At 47.4% G+C, this 16,127-nt stretch overlaps 1 protein-coding gene across 4 annotated transcripts in view, besides 3 other annotated features; it reads left to right on the plus strand.

The window, feature by feature from the left end:
* Positions 1-16,127, plus strand: part of CHST3 (carbohydrate sulfotransferase 3) — a 49,164-nt gene that overhangs the window by 15,046 nt on the left and 17,991 nt on the right. The window lies entirely within an intron of this gene.
* Positions 5,528-5,577: an enhancer, noted in NCBI's record as "active region_3526". NCBI's record gives its function as "activates an Ori minimal core promoter by ATAC-STARR-seq in GM12878 lymphoblastoid cells {active_cell/tissue: GM12878}" and the evidence as "EXISTENCE:reporter gene assay evidence [ECO:0000049][PMID:35858748]".
* Positions 5,638-5,707: an enhancer, noted in NCBI's record as "active region_3527". NCBI's record gives its function as "activates an Ori minimal core promoter by ATAC-STARR-seq in GM12878 lymphoblastoid cells {active_cell/tissue: GM12878}" and the evidence as "EXISTENCE:reporter gene assay evidence [ECO:0000049][PMID:35858748]".
* Positions 12,179-12,352: a silencer, noted in NCBI's record as "fragment chr10:73751377-73751550 (GRCh37/hg19 assembly coordinates)". NCBI's record gives its function as "represses an EF-1alpha promoter that drives an FKBP-Casp9 reporter gene in an ReSE screen in K562 erythroleukemia cells {active_cell/tissue: K562}" and the evidence as "EXISTENCE:reporter gene assay evidence [ECO:0000049][PMID:32094911]".

The raw sequence follows: 16,127 nt of genomic DNA on the forward strand, positions 1-16,127 counted from the left end.
GGATTGGTTATGGCTGTGGGGGAAGTCGGAGGGAGGCTCTGGGGATGTGTAGGGTTTGGGCTCGGCCTTAAGGGATGGGTGGAATTTGGCCAGGCACAGATGGGGGAGGGGTGGTGCTTTGGGCATCACCAGCCCTAGGCTCATGGTTGCCACCCTCCCTTCCGGTACCGCCTTCCCTTTTCTGCATTTCCACCCAGAGATGGACTCTCAGCTTTGAATTCTTTTTAGGAAGTGACTTTATTGTTTTTATTTTTTTTCTCTATCTAAGGTAGTCAGAATATTATTTTTGTGATAATGCTAGATGCTTAGTATGTAAAATTCAAGTACAATGGGTAAATACAGAGAAGAATGCAGCAAATCACCACCACTCCCACCACCCAGATGGAACTGTTTAGTTATTTGGTCCGTATGCGTATAGACACCTCAGTAGGCCTACCCGGTGGGTGGGAGTGGGAGCATGGGGGCTGGAGGGCCAGAAAGTTTTATAAGCACAGGGAAAATGCACAGTTTAAATTTACCTTCAGGCCAGAGTTGGAAAGATTGTCTCACCTGAAACAGTCCTTCCCTTCTGTCCGCTGCCTACATGACTGTATCGGATGGGGAAAGAGGGAATGGGGAACTTTCAGGCCATGGCCTTCAAAACCTCCCCATTCAGACAAATTACAGAAAAGGAGCCAGTCTCAGTGAGCATATTCCAGCTCTAGAACAGTGGCTTTCCAACTTTTAGACTAAAACCTCAGACACAGACACCCACACATAACTGAAACAAAAGCCTTATGAAACCCATATTTTAGCTGGGCACAGTGGCTCATGTCTGTAATTCCAAACACTTTGGGAGGCCGAGGTAGGAAGATCACTTGAGCCCAGGGGATCAAGGCTGCAGTGTTTGCAGCGTTGTACTCCAACCCGGGCAACAAAGTGAAAAAAGAAACTCATGCTTATCAACTCATGCTTATCATTATGATACAGAGGCATTCTGATATTTTCTAATCTACACAATGCTGTTGTGTTTAAAAAAGAAAAAAAAAGCTTATCTTAACCTACCAAATTGTTGGCACAGCCTGCAGTTTGAGAAATGTCACTGTTGACCAGCGATTTTCAAACGTTCGTGTGCATCAGACTCAACTGCAGAGTGTGCTAAAACAATCTGCTCCCCTCTCCTGAGGTTCTGAGTCATTAGTTCTGGAGTGGGACCTGAGGATTCGCATTTCCACCAAGTTCCCAGGAGGGGCTGATACTGCCAGTCTGGGGACCCCACTTTGAGACCCACCCTCCTGGGGTGTTTTTAAGGCAACATGCTCCCTTGGCAAAGACCATCAGGGGATTTGCTTTATTGAATGGATGAGAATTGCTGATTGCTAACATCCGAACGGTGGATCTCTGAGATACTTGAGGATGCTGGTCAGGCATTGTCGTTGGGATCTTTAACACCACCCTCCTAAAATCCAGCTCACACTATTAATATAAAGTGTTGCATGTAGAAAAGGCCTGCTAAGCAAAGGGACATTTATGCCTAGCCCTAGTTGAATTCCCTGCCTCTCAAATCCCAGACCTGCAGAACATAAAACCCTCCCAGCCTTTCTGAAAACACTGTTCTTCTAAAGGCAATGAAAGGCGCTATTTAGCATGTGGGTTTCAACTTTCTGTTTTTTCAAAGGGAAGAAGGTAGGTCAAGCGTGACTGCCCCATGGGGAAGGCTGTCCCCGCTGGCTCTGGTAGGGGTCTGGTGGGTTTCACTGGCGGTCCCCAGTTTCCCAGCTTTAACCGGAAATTTTCCTGGCATTGTATCACGCGGCAGCACCTCGGCCTTGCAGCCTGCCAGCTTTGGAGACTGGCCTGTATCCCAAACTGCTTCTGCTCTCCAACCAGGGACTGTCAGCCCCCACCCCTAAGCCTCCTCCTCTGTAGCCTTGGGGCCTCCATGGGCCCCTCCCCAGCCTCGCAGCCCTCCAGAAGCCAGCCCTCAGCTGGGAGCAGCTTTGCGAGGGAGGGGAATGTTCAGTGGGCACAGAGCACTTCTGTTCCAGTAACAATGGCCCGTTGATGACTAGATTCTGCCCAGGTCAGCTCCCTCAACTGGACTTTGAGGAGGAGAAAGGACTCCAGCCCCCCCAGGCAGCCATTTCTGGGTGTGAGGTTGATTCAGAGGCCTGAGCCTCTGTCTGCCCACAGAACCTCATTCTTCAGGCCCTGGTGCAGCAGGGAGAAACGCCCATCCCAGGGCAGTGTAAGGCCCCAGGAGTGATTCCGTTCTGTCCAATTCAACAGTCAGTTATTGAATAGTCCTGGCCACTGAGGTTTGGTGCTAAGTAGCTGTGGGGAATAAGAATAACTGCTGACATGAATTCAATGCTTCTTACTGTCAACCCCGCCCCTGGCTGCCCAGTAGTCTCTAGGGAACTTATAAAAATTCCCAGGCACAGATTCCTCCCACCTCAGAATCTTCAGGGGTGAACCCTTGGCACTGATATTTTTTAAAAGCTCTCAGAGTGATTCTCATGCCCAGCAGGGATGCAGCATCACTGGCCTCCAGTCTGTCAGATGCTGTGCTAAGCATTTAACTTGGAGTACCCCATTTAAGGAAGCAGGTGCTTATGGGATGCTGAAATGTGGCCCCCACAGATGTCCACGTATGAGCCACCAGCACCTGTGGATATGTGAGCTTGCATGGTAAGGACTGTCCAGATGGGATTAAGTTAAGGATTTTGAGTTGAGAGATTATCCTGGATTATCCAGGAGAGCCCTAAATATAATCACAAGTGTCCTTATAAGAGGGAGGCAGAAGATTTGACTACAGAAGAGGAGTGTCAGAATAATGCATGGTGAAAAAAACTATCAGCCATTGCTGGTTTGCAGATGGAGGAAGGGGGCATGAGCCATGGAAAGCAGATAGCCTCCAGAAGCTGGGAAAGGCAAGGCTGCAGACTCTCCAGAAGGAACCCAGGCCTTTTGGCACCTTCATGTTAAGTCAGTGAAACTGACCTCACACTTCTGACATTCAGAACTGTACGATAATCAGTGTGTTGTTCCAGCTGGGCACGGTGGCTTATGCCTATAATTACAGCACTTTGGGAGGCTGCAACGGGAGGATCTCTTGAGGCCAGGAGTTTGAGACCAGCCTGGGCAACCTGATGAAACCCCTGTCTCTACAAAAATAAAAAAATTAGCTGAGTGTGGTTGCACGCATCTGCCCCGGCTATTCAGAAGCTGAGGTGGGAGAATCTCTTGAACCCGAGAGATTGAGGCTGCAGTGGGCCATGATCATGCCACTGCACTCAGCCTGGGCAACAGAGCATGACCCTGTCTCAAAAAAAAAGGAAAGAAAGTAAGTGTTATTTGAAGGTACTAAGTTTGTGGCAATGTGTTACAACAGCAGTAGGAAACAGATACGGGGCTGTCATTAACCCTGCTTTACAGATGAAGTACGGGGGCCAGGCAGTCACCTGGGCTCACCCAGCTAGTGGGCTACCGAGCTGGAAGAACCAGGTTGTCCGACCCCTTCTTCACTGCCCACCACACCTCACCACACTGCCCCCTCTTGGCAGTCAGACAGACATGGGTTCAATCTCAGCTCTGTCATCTTCTGTCTGTGTGTCCTGTGCTGCTGGTGAGGCTTGTTTGGCCAGGGGGAGGCCCCAGGAAGGGGAGGGGTGGAGACCAGTTGGAAAGATAGGGTGGGCCAGGTTGTCCCCAGGTGGAAGAGTTTGGACTTGATTTTGGAGGAATGGAGCCCACAGGGCACTGTCTGGTCTCCTCTGCCATATTTCTTGATGATGCCTCAGACCCGCAGGCCTGCTCAGTCTTTGAGATCTGACATAATGCAGCAACCCAGCTCCCATTGAGAACCTCAGGATTGGGACCAGAATCATCATTCTACTCCTTGTCACCCACAGCCAGTGACAGCCATTTATCTGGGACGGCCAGTGAGCTCCTGTTTCCCAGGAAGCCAGCAGTGGCCCTGGTGCCTCCAAAATGTTTCTTCCAAGATTCTCCTAGAACCATGCATTTGGGACCATGCCTTTTTTTTTGAAAAGGAGTCTTGTTCTGTTGCCCAGGCTAGAGTGCAGTGGCTCAATCTTGGCTCACTGCAACCTCTGCCTCCCGGGTTCAAACAGTTCTCTTGCCTCAGCCTCCTGGGTGGCTGGGATTATAAGCACATGCCACGATGCCTGGCTATTTTTTGTATTTTCAGTAGAGACGGGGTTTCACCATGTTGTTCAGGCTGGTCTGGAACTCCTGAACTCAAGTGATTCACCTGCCTCGGCCTCCCAAAGTGCTGGGATTACAGGCGTGAGCCACTGCGCCTGCCCAAGACCATGCATATTTTTTAGAGTAAAAGTATGAAATACAAACAAATACAGAGAGTTTTCCAGATGAGGCAGGAAAATAGGGTCTAGAGGCAGGGAATGTAAGGCCAATCACACTTCAGCTATAACAGGAAATACCCTCTCCATAGCTCGTGCTCTGTAAATGACTTTGTAACTTTACTTCATCCTCTCCATTTACATAGGGCGTACCCAAAATAACAAATGGAATCCTCTAGAGGGTATTTAAACTCCCCAAAATTCTGTAACGGGCCTTTTGTTTGTTTGTTTGTTTTGAGACACAGTCTCACTCTGTCACCCAGGCTGGAGCGCAGTGGCGCAATCTCAGCTCACTACAGCCTCCGCCTCCCAGGTTCAAGCAATTCTCCTGCCTCAGCCTCTCGAGTAGCTGGGATTACAGGCATGCGCCACCGCACCCAGCTAATTATTGTATTTTTAGTAGAGACGGGGTTTCATCATGTTGTCCAGGCTGGGTTCGAACTCCTGACCTCAAGTGATCTGCCCGCCTCAGCCTCCCAAAGTGCTGAGATTACAGGCGTGAGCCACCATGCTCGGCTGACGGCCTTTTGAGCTCCTGTGCTCGGGCCGCCCCACGCTGTGGAGCGCACTTTCTCAGTAAATCCCTTCATCCCTTCCTTGCTTTGTGCGTTTTGTCTAACTCTGTGTTCAAGACACCAAGAACCTGGACACCCTCCACCTTTAACACAAAGCCACACCACAAGTTGGTGACAGGTCCTGAAAGATCAGTTCCTGACTAGGACTCTGATCTGTCCACTGCTGTACAGCTGCTCCCTTCTGGCTAAATCAGCTTGCTCAGACACAGAGCATAGTGGTTGAATTTGTGGACTGTGGAGCCAGGCTTCCTGTGTTCCGATCCCAGCTCTGCCTTTAACTCAGGGTAAGTTTTCTCATCCCCTTGCCTTTGATGGGGATGGTGACTATTATCCATAAGCATTATCCAGGGTTCTTCCAAAGATTAAGTACATTTATGTACATGAAGTACTTGGAACAATTCCTTGTTCACTGTGTTAACTTCTGTTACTATTCAGCTCCTCTAGGGCAGGGGCTGTGTCTTTTCCTTCCTGTTCCTAGTGCCTGGTTCCATGCTTGGCCCAGAGCAAGTCCTCAGCAAATGAATATACTTGTTTCATGTGAGCTTTTGTCACTCAGAGATTCTTTAGGTACTTTCCCAAAAGCTTGCACTCTTACAAATTTCCATCTTAGTTCTTCAAATCTTTCTTCTCCTCCTTCCTGCCGCAGAATTGCCATAGAGCAGCCTGAAGCTTGCTCTGCCCCTTGCAAAGTCCAGTGAGCCGTTCAAAGATAACCCAGATGTCCCAAGCCTCCCAGCCAGAGTGCCTGTGCTGCGCAGCTGGCGTGGTTGCCCCAGTCTCCTTCGCCCCAAGGCCATGCTTGGCCGACCCCCTGACCCGCTGAGGTTGCGCAGAGCTTTTTGGGCCCTGTAGCAGCACTGCTTGGGCACCAAGCCTTGCATGGTCTCATGGGACTCACTGCCTGCAGCCGCTAGTCCCAGCTCCCCTCCTTACCAGAACCCACACCATGTTGTCCAGCTGATGGGGGATCACATATCATGCTATTCCCTCCAGGATCCTGTCCCCTGTTTTTCTCCCCCTGCCATGAGGAGTAGCATCCTCATTTAGCCTTTCCCTCAGAAAGTCCCCACGCTTATCACTACACATGAATAGATCCCAGGAAGGTCACTTTCTCATGGTTCTGCAAAAAGCCAAACTCCAGTTGAGGTCCAGTTTGAACCCAACTAGTTCACTCCTCTGCCCTAGAAAGGCCATTTCTGCTCAATCTTACTGCCCCACCTCTACTTCCAACTTGCAAAGATCTCTTGAAACCCTGCCTCCTGTTGTGGGAGCTAGTTTTCTTTTCTTTTTTTTCCTTTTCATTACACAGTTTCATTTTGACATAACAGTAGATTCACACGCAATTTTAATAAATTGTACAGAGAGGTCTCATGAATCTGTTACCCACTTCCCCCTATGGTAACATTCTGTGAAAGCCTAGCCTAATGTCACAATCAGAATGTTGACTTCATACAGAATCCCCTGTGGTGCCCTTTTATAACTACACTCACTTCCCTCCTGCCCCCACCCCTTCCTTGACCCTTGGCAATACTAGTCTGTTCTCCATTCTTACAGTTTTGTCATTTCAGGAATGTTCTATAAATGGAATTATGCAGTGTGTAACCTTTTGTGATTGGCTGTTTTCACTCAGCACAGTTCCCTGGAAATTCATCCAAGTTATTGTATGTGTATCAGTGTTGTTTTTTTTTACTAAGTAGGTAAAACAAGGGACACAGACCTGTTCTCCTGGCATCCCTCCCTGGTTAGCAAGAGATTCAGCAGGCCGCTGCCACTCTGGCCTTGCTGATAGCTAGTGTGTGTGCAGGCAGCAGCTCCCGCTGTCTGTAAGAGCGCCAGGGTAGTGAAGTTGGGTGCTCTAAAAGTAGTGGCTCTCCATCTTTGCTGATTCTAGGTTAGAATCACCTAAGGAGCTTTAAGTAATCTTGATGCCCAGGCCACACCAATGCAATCTGAATCTGGAGGTGGCACCCAGGCCTCAGTGATTTGTAAACTTCTCTGGATGATTCTTATGCTGTCAGAGTTGAAAACCAGTCCTCTAAAACAGCCGCAGCAGATTCACAATAGCTGTGCCATCCTCCACCCATGATAGATGTCACAGAGCAATCGCAGCACTCGTATTTTCAAATACGGCGCTCCAGGCAGCCCCTTCCCATCTGTCAGCTTTGGCCCGGGGTGGAAATTGACTTGCCCTCTTAGCTGAGAAACCGTTTGGCCATGGCCATGTCCAGGTGTGCCCAGGCCCGAGGCCTGACATGTTAGGTGAGTGTCCCTGTAAGTAATGCTGGAAAGGTGGGCCCTTGACCGATAGGAATAGTTGCAGCAGGCAGAGATCGCCTGGGGCTGGTTCTATAAGATAAACCCGAAGTGGATCAGCCAGTGTCCCTCCCCTGCAGCCCAGCATGGGGAGAGATGTACCCAAGAAATACCAACCAACAGTGCCATTGGCATAGACGGGCTCTGGCTGACATTTGTTCAGACCAGCAATAATGCCCAGCCTGTGTGCAATCTTCCCAATTTTCGGAGCTCACACAGCTTCCTTGATGCTCACAACAACCCTGTGGGGCCAGCCTAAGCTCAGAGAAGTTAAATTCCTCACCCAACGTCAGCAGAGAGTAAGTGGGAGAGCTGGGACCCACTCCAAGTCTGTCCGAGTTCAGGGCCATCTGTCCAACGCTCAGAGCAGTTAGACAATTGACCTCTGTTTCCACTGGCAGACCGAGTGTAGATGGGCTCCTCTGTGGCCATAGATCAGTCAGAGGATAGCAGCAGACACATGCGGACCAAGCCTCCTGCTGCCCAAGACCCCTGTGGCCCCTCTCTCCCTAACCGCTGCTTCTCCTACAGATCTAGTGCAGAGATGTTGGACAGAACACAAGAGGTTGAAGTCAGGGCGGGAGCAGGAAAAAAAAAAAGAATAAGAAGAAAAGAGGCTGGAGTTCCTCCTTTCATCACAGGAATAAAACCCCTTCCTGCTGTCAATGGGACCATTAAGTGGGAGTTTGAGGAAGCTCCAGAGGATTCAAATTCTGTTGCCACTGTATAGAAACAGAGGAGACCGACGCAGTGACTCACATCTGTAATCCCAGCACTTTGGGAGGCTGAGGCGGGCAGATCACTTGAGGTCAGGAGTTCAAGACCAGCCTGGTCCGCATGGTGAAACCCTGTCTGTACTAAAAATACAAAAAAATTAGCTGGGCGTGGTGGTGCCTAACTGTAATCCCAACTACTCGGGAGGCTGAGGCAGGAGAATGGCTTGAACCCGGGAGGCGGAGGTTGCGTTGAGCCAAGATTGTGCCACTGCACTCCACCCTGGGTAACAAGAGTGAGACTGTCTCAAAAAAAAAAAAAAAAAAAGACAGAGGAAATAGAAGTAGGGTTGGAAGAAAACAGGGAGCAGAAGAAATTCTCCTCTCTGTCCTGTCCCTTACTTGATCATTCTCCAGGATCAGAAAGCCTCCTTAGAAGGTCAGGAAGGAGGATAGAGCAAGAATTAGGGATCCTAGACTTATGCATGGAGAGTTTTTCTCTACCCGGTTATCTCAGAAATCCTGTAATGGAGCCGTCTTTCCAGAGGTGCAGAACAAAATGGGAAGCTGTGGCCATTGTGTAGCCATTGAAGGCTAGCCCATGGTCCCCTCACAGCTTCCATGGGCTTCTCCCGAGCATGTGCACGTATGATGCACCCATTGCATGTATACGTACATGCACACATTTCTGGTCAAAAGGTTGATGATTGATAAAACTGACAAAAGCTCCAAACCCCACAAATGAGCACAGCGTTTTGTAATAATGAGCATGACCAAAATGGGAAAAAATAGGGCACATGAGGGATGAGGGAAGAAAAAGGACTCCAGGGCCCAGAAGATTCCTAGGCTTCCTTAGCCACCTCCTCCTAAAGTAGGGGTAATAAGTACATGGCACATGTGCCAGCCCTTCCCCTGTGATATAGTTGGGATATTTGTCCGCACCCAAATCTCATGTTGAATTGTAATCCCCAATGCTGGAAGTGGGGCCTGGTGGGAGGTGTTTGAGTCATGGGGGTGGATCCCTCATGGCTTGGTGCTGTCTTCCTCATAGTGAGTTCTTGCCAGATCAGGTCATTTAAAAGTGTGTGGCACCTCCCCATTCTCTATCTCTCATTCCTGCTTTTGCCATTTGAAGTGCCTGCTCCTGCTTTGCTTTCCGCCATGATTGAAAGCTCCCTGAGGCTTCACCAGAAGCCAAGCAGATGCCAGCACCATGCTTCTTGTACATCCTGCAGAACCAAGAGCCAATTAAACTGCTTTTCTTTATAAATTACCCAGTCTCAGGTATTTCTTTATAGCAGTGCAAAAACAGCCTAATACACCCTATCTATACACACAGCAGACATCACTACTCAACTGCCATGTTCTTTCCCACAGAAAACAAGCCTGATCTCAGGATTCTTCTCATCAAAGTGCTCCAGGCTGCCAATTACCAACCTATTAGCTTTTACTCATGAGATGAAAATGATTTGCCAGGCCGGGTGTGGTGGCTCACACCTGTAATCCCAGCACTTTGGGAGTCCGAGGCAGGTGGATCACTTGAGGTCAGGAATTCGAGACCAGCCTGACCAAAATGGTGAAACCCCATCTCTACAAAAATGTAAAAATTAGCCGGGCATGCTGGCACTCACCTGTAATCCCATCTACTCAGGAGGCTGAGGCAGGAGAATCTCTTGAACTTAGGAGGTGGAGGTTGCAGTGAGCTGAGATTGCGCCACTGCATTCCAGCCTGGGCGACAGAGCAAGGCTCTGTCTGACAGAAAGAAAGAAAGAAAAAGAAAGGAAGGAAGGAAGGAGAAAATAATTTGCCAGCCTCAGCTTGAGCCCAGGAGTTCGAGACAAGCCTGGACAACAGGGAAAGACCCTGACTCTCCAAAAAGCTTTTTTTAAAAATAGCGAGGTGTGGTGGCACATGCCTGTGATCCCAGCTATTTGGGAGGCTGAAGCAGGAGGATCACTTGAGTCCAGGAGGTTGAGGCTGCAGTGAGCCATGATCACACCACCGTATTCCAGCCTAGGCAGTGGAGCAAGACCCGTCCTCAAAAAGAAAAAAAAAAGTTGGAAACCTGATACAGTCACCATTTTTGTCAGGATCCCTCTTGCTTGTTCTGGGTTAGGTTCATCACAAAGCTGCTTAGATGGACTTGGTTATTCAAGTAAATATTAAGCGCTAACTGTGTGTAGGATGATGGATTGGGACACAACTCCATATGCTTTTTATTTCCATTATTTTTATAACTTTCTCTTATATTGATATTTTAGTAACATGGTAACAAATTTAAACAATAGAAGAAAGTAGAAGTTAAAAGTCAGTGACAGTTCCCACCCATTCCCCAGTTCCCTCAACCACTCTTGTCAATCTCTTCTTTCCATCTCCAAAGATATCCAGCATTTGCATGGATCCAGTCCAGTTTGTAGGCAGTTGGTAGCATGCCACGCATACTCTTGCCCTTGCTTTTATCACTCATGTCTTGAACAGCATTTTATGTCAGCCCTCCAGAACTTCCTCTTTCTTTTTAATCATTACAGAGTATTGCACTGATAAATGTACCTAACATTGAGCTAACAAGTTGCTGTTTTTTGTTTTGGTTTTGGTTTTGCCTATTAACATGCATTAATGTCATGGTTAGCCTTTTGTAATTATAATCGATTTATTGTTGTATATGTCCTTGTTGTATCCATGCAAATATATCAGCAAGATTAGTTCCTAGAAGTGGAATTCCTGGGTCGAAGAGTGTTATAGCAGTCCTTTGGGGCTGCTATAACAAATACCATACACTGAGAAACTTACAAGTAGCAGAAATTTATTGCTCATGGTTCTGGAGGCTGGGAAGTCCAAAATCAAGGAGCCAGCAGATTTGATTTGGGGAGGGCTGCTCTCTGCTTCCAAGATGGCACCTACCTGTGGCGTCCTTACCTGGTGGAAGGAGCAGACAAGCTCCCTTAGGGCTCTAATAATTTTTCTTTTTTTTTTTGACACGGAGTTTTGCTCTTGTTGCCCAGGCTGGAGTGCAATGGTGTGATCTTGGCTCACCGCAACCTCCACCTCCCACGTTCAAGCAATTCTCCTGCCTCAGCCTCCTGAGTAGCTGAGATTACAGGCATACGCCTCCATGCCCAGCTAATTTTGTATTTTTATTAGAGATGGGGTTTGTCCATATTGGTCAGGCTGGTCTCAAACTCCCGCCCTCAGGTGATCCACCTGCCTCGGCCTCCCAAAGTGCTGGAATTACAGGCATGAGCCACCATGCCCAGCCTCTAAAAAGAACACTAATCCCATTCATGAGGGCTCCACACTGGTGACCTAGTCACCTCCCAAAGGCCCTACCTGTTAATGCCAGCACACTGGGATTCGATTACAACACAAAAATTTTAGAGGGGCACAAACATTCAGCCCATAGCTAAGAGTATGCATATTTAAAACTTGTGATGGTTTGGCCAAATCATCCTTCAGAAAGGACACTCCCATGAACATTATGTATTAGGACGGGACGGGCTATGCTGTAGGAACAATTAGTCCCCCAAATCTTAGTATTTAACACAGCAAAGGCTTGTTTTTTCTCTTGCGTCACATCTGATGCAGATGGGGTGGCTCTCTAAGCAGCATCCCAGGGATCCAGGCTGCTTCCATTGTGAACTAAGCCAGTTGGAACATGTGGCCTCCACTGTTGCCACAGCCAGGGGAGAGAGGCCTGGATGAATGTGTGGGAAAATTTTAAGCAAAGTGGCTTACATCACTTTCACCCACATCCTACCTGTCAGAACCAGTCATATGGCCTCAGCCTGACTGCAAAAGAGTCTGGGCAATGTGGAGGAGCCCCTGGCCACTCGATGAGCCTCACGTCTCTGCCAGTCGGTTCCCCAGAAATTCACCCACACAGTATATTCCAGGGCGTTTTGTTCTTCGCTAATTAAATATATGAAAAATGGCGTCATGTAGACTGTCGTTCTGCCCTGCACGTCTGTGCTTTCTTTGGGCAGTTGCCCTCCGCCTTTTTCTGCTGAAATATTCATAGGGGATTATGTTCACTCCAGACACACTCCAGTGGCCTTCCCCAAATTTTCCCAAAACCCCAAAACCTTTTGTGGGGAAGCCCTAAGACATTCTATATTTTGGCTGTTACAGGCATACCTCAGAGGTATTGCAGGTTCAGTTCCAGACCACTGCAACAAAATTAATATCACAATAAAGCAAATCACACAAATTTTTTTGTTTCCCAGTGCATATAAAATTTACATTTACACGGCCGGGTGCAGTGGCTCGCACCTGTAATACCAGCACTTTGGGAGGCCAAGTCAGGCGGATCACCTGAGGTCAGGAGTTCGAGACCACCCTGGCCAACATGGTGAAACCCCGTCACTACTAAATATACAAAAAATTAGCCAGGCATGGTGGCAGGCACCTGTAATCCCAGCTACTCGGGAGGCTGAGGCAGGAGAATCGCTGGAACCCGGGCGGCAGAGGTTGCAGTGAGCCGAGATACATGCCATTGCACTCCAGCCTGGGCAACAAGAGCAAAACTCTGTCTGAAAAAAAAAAAGTTACTTTTATACTATACTGTAGTCTATTAAGTGTACAGTAGTATGTCTAAAAAAAGTACATAACTTAAAAATACTTTATTTGCTGAAAAAAATGCTAACAATCATCTGAGACTTTAGCAAGCGACTTGTAGTCTTTTTGCTGGAGAGGGTCTTGCCTCAATGTTGATGGCTGCTGACTAACTGCTGAAGAGTAGGGTGGCTATGGCAATTTCTTTCTTTCTTTTTATTTTTTTTGTTTTTGTTTTTTGTGTTTTGAGACAGGGTCTTGCTCTGTTGCCCAGGCTGGAGTGCAATGCCACAATCATGGCTTGCAGCAGCCCTGATCACCTTGGCAATGCCCCGACCTCAGCCTTCCGAGTAGTTGGAACCACAAGTGCATGTCACCACACCCAGCCTATGTTTTTATTATTTGCAGAGACACAGTCTCACTATGTTTCCCAGGCTGGTCTCGAACTCCTGGGCTCAAGGAGTTCCTGGGCCCGCTTGGGCCTCCCAAAGTGATGGGATTACAGGTGTGAGCCACTGCACCCAGCCACAATTTCTTAAAATAACACAACAATAAAGTTTGCTGCATCAATTGACTCTTCTTTTCATGACGGATTTCTCTGTAGCATGCAATGCTGTTTGATTCACAGTAGCACTTCTTTCAAAATTAGAGTCAATTCTTTCTAACTCTGCTGCTGCTTTATCAACTAAGTTTATGGAATATTCTTTTTTTTTTTTTTTTTTTGAGATGGAGTTTCACTTTTGTTGCCCAGGCTGGAGTGCAGTGGCACGATCTCGGCTCACTGCAACCTCCACCTCCCAGATTCAAGCAATTCTACTGCCTCAGCCTCCAGAGTAGGTGGGATTACAGGCGTCCGCCACCACGCTTGGCTAATTTTTTGTATTTTTAGTAGAGGCAGGGTTTCACCATGTTGGCCAGGCTGGTCTTGAACTCCTGATCTCAGGTGATCCACCTGCCCCGGCCCCCCAAAGTGTGGGGATTACAGGTGTGAGCCACCACTCCCAGACAATTTATAGAATATTCTAAATCAAGCTTGTCCAACCCGCAGGCCACGTGCAGCTCAGGACGGCTTTGAATGTGGCCCAACACAAATTTGTAAATTTTCTTAAAATATTATGAGATTTTCTTTGCGTTTTTTGTTTGTTTGTTTTCTCATCACATATCGTTAGTTGTTAGTGTATTTTATGTGTAGAACAAGGCAATTCTTCTTCCAGTGTGGCCCAGGAAAGCTAAAAGACTGGACACCCTGCTCCAAATCCTTTGTTGTCATTCACAGCATCTTCACCAGGAGTAGCTTCCATCTCAAAAACCACTTTCTTGACTCATACATAAGAAGCAACTCATTCATTCAAGTTTTATCATGAGATTGCAGCAATTCGCTCATATCTGCAGGCTTCATGTCTAATTCTAGTTTTCTCTTATTACTTCCACCACATCTGCAGTTCATTTCTCCACTGAAGTCTTAAACCCCTCAAAATCATCCACATGGATCCACTTCCTCCATCCACTTCTTAGCATCCACTTCTTCTAAATTAGCATCCACTTCTTCCACATTCCTATTCATGTTGATATTTTCACCTCCTCTCCTGAGTCACAAATGTTCTTACTGGCATCTACAATGGAAGGTTTTCAGTTTACTTTGCCCAGATCCAACAGAGGAATCACTGTCTATTGCAGCTATAGCCTTACAAAATGTATTTCTTAAATAATGTAACTTGAGGGTCAGATATGGTGGTTCACGTCTGTAATCTCAGCACTTTGGGAGGCCAAGGGAGGAGGATTGTTTGAGGCCAGGAGTTCAAGACCAGCCTGGGCAACATAGTGAGACATCTCTACAAATTAAAATTTAAAAATTAGCCAGGAGGCCGGGTGCAGTGGCTCACATCTGTAATCCCAACACTTTGGGAGGCTGAGGTGGGTGGATCACCTGAGGTCAGGAGTTCAAGACCAGCCTGGCCAACATGATGAAACCCTGTCTCTGCTAAAAATACAAAAATTAGCCAAGCGTGGTGGCGGGCACCTGTAATCCCAGCTACTTGGGAGGCTGAGGCAGGAGAATCGCTTGAACTCGGGAGGCGGAGGTTGCAGTGAGCCGAGATCACGCCACTATACTCCAGCCTGGGTGACAAAGCGAGACTCCATTCAAAAACAACAACGAAAATTAGCCAGGTGAAATACCATGCACCTGTAGTCCCAGCTACTTGGGAGGCTGAGACAGGAGGATCACTTGAGCCCAGGAGTTTGAGGCTACAGTAAGCCATAATCATGCTACTGCATTCCAGCCTGGGTGACAGAGTAAGAAAACCCTGTCTCAAAAAAAAAAAAAATTAATTAATTAAAAAACAGACTTGAAAGTCAAAATTACTCCTTGATCCATGGGCTGCAGAATTAATGTTGTGTTAACAGGCATGAAAACATTACTCTCCTCTTACCTGTCCATCAGAGCTCTTGGGAGACCAGGTGCATTGTCAATGAGCAGTAGTATTTTAAGCAGTAGGTGTCAACAGTGGGCTTAAAATATTGAATAAATCATACTGTAAACAGATATGCTGTCATCCAGGCCTGTTCCATTTACAAGCACAGGCAGAGTACATCTTGCTTAATTGTTAAGGTCCCTAGGAGTTTTAGAAGGGTCAACGAGCATTGGCTTCAGCTTAAAGTCACCAGCTACCTTAGCCCCTAACAAGAGAATCAGTCTGTCCTTTGAAGCTTTGAAGCCAAGCATTGACTTCTCCTCTCTAGCTATGGAAGTCCTAGATGGTATCTTCTTTCAATAGAAGGCTGTTTGGTCTACATCGAAAACCTGTTGATTATTGTAGCCACCTTCGTCAGTGATCTTAGCTAGATCCTTGGGATAACTTGCTGCCAATTCTCCATCAGCACTTCCTGCTTTACCTTGCACTTTTATGTTATGGAGATGTCTTCTTTCCTTAAACCTCATGAACCAACCAACGCTAGCAGCTTCCAAATTTTCTGCAGCTTCCTTGTCTCTCTCAGCTTTCCTAGAATTGAAGAGAGTTAGGGACATGCTCTGGTTTAGGTTTTGGCTTAAGGGAATGTTGTGGTTGGTTTGATTTTCTATCCAGACCACTCAAACTTTCTCCATATCAGCAACAAGTCTTTTTCACATTATTATAATTTGTGTGTTCACTAGAGTAGCCCTTTTCATTTCCTTCAAGAACTTTTCCAGCCGGGTGCGGTGACTCACGCCTGTAATCCCAGCACTTTGGGAGGCTGAGGTGGGCAGATCACTTAAGGTCAGGAGTTCGAGACCAGCCTGGCCAACCTGATGAAACCCCCTCTCTACTAAAAATACAAAAATTAGCCTGGTGTGGTGGCAGGCACCCGTAATCCCAGTTACTTGGGAGGTTGAGGCACAAGAATCACCTGAACCCAGGAGGTGGAGGTTGCAGTGAGCCGAGATCACGCCACTGCGCTCCAGCCTGGGCAGAGCGAGAGTCTGTCTCAAAAAAAAAAAAAAAAAAAGAATTTGTCTTTCGCACTCACAGCTTGGCTAACTGTTTGGTGCAAGAGGCCTCACTTTTAGCCTTTCTGGCTTTCAGCATTCCTGCCTCACTAAGCTCCATCATTTCTAGCTTTTGATTTTAAGCAA

Source organism: Homo sapiens, chromosome 10 (assembly GCF_000001405.40).
Source record: "Homo sapiens chromosome 10, GRCh38.p14 Primary Assembly".
NCBI lineage: Eukaryota > Metazoa > Chordata > Mammalia > Primates > Hominidae > Homo > Homo sapiens.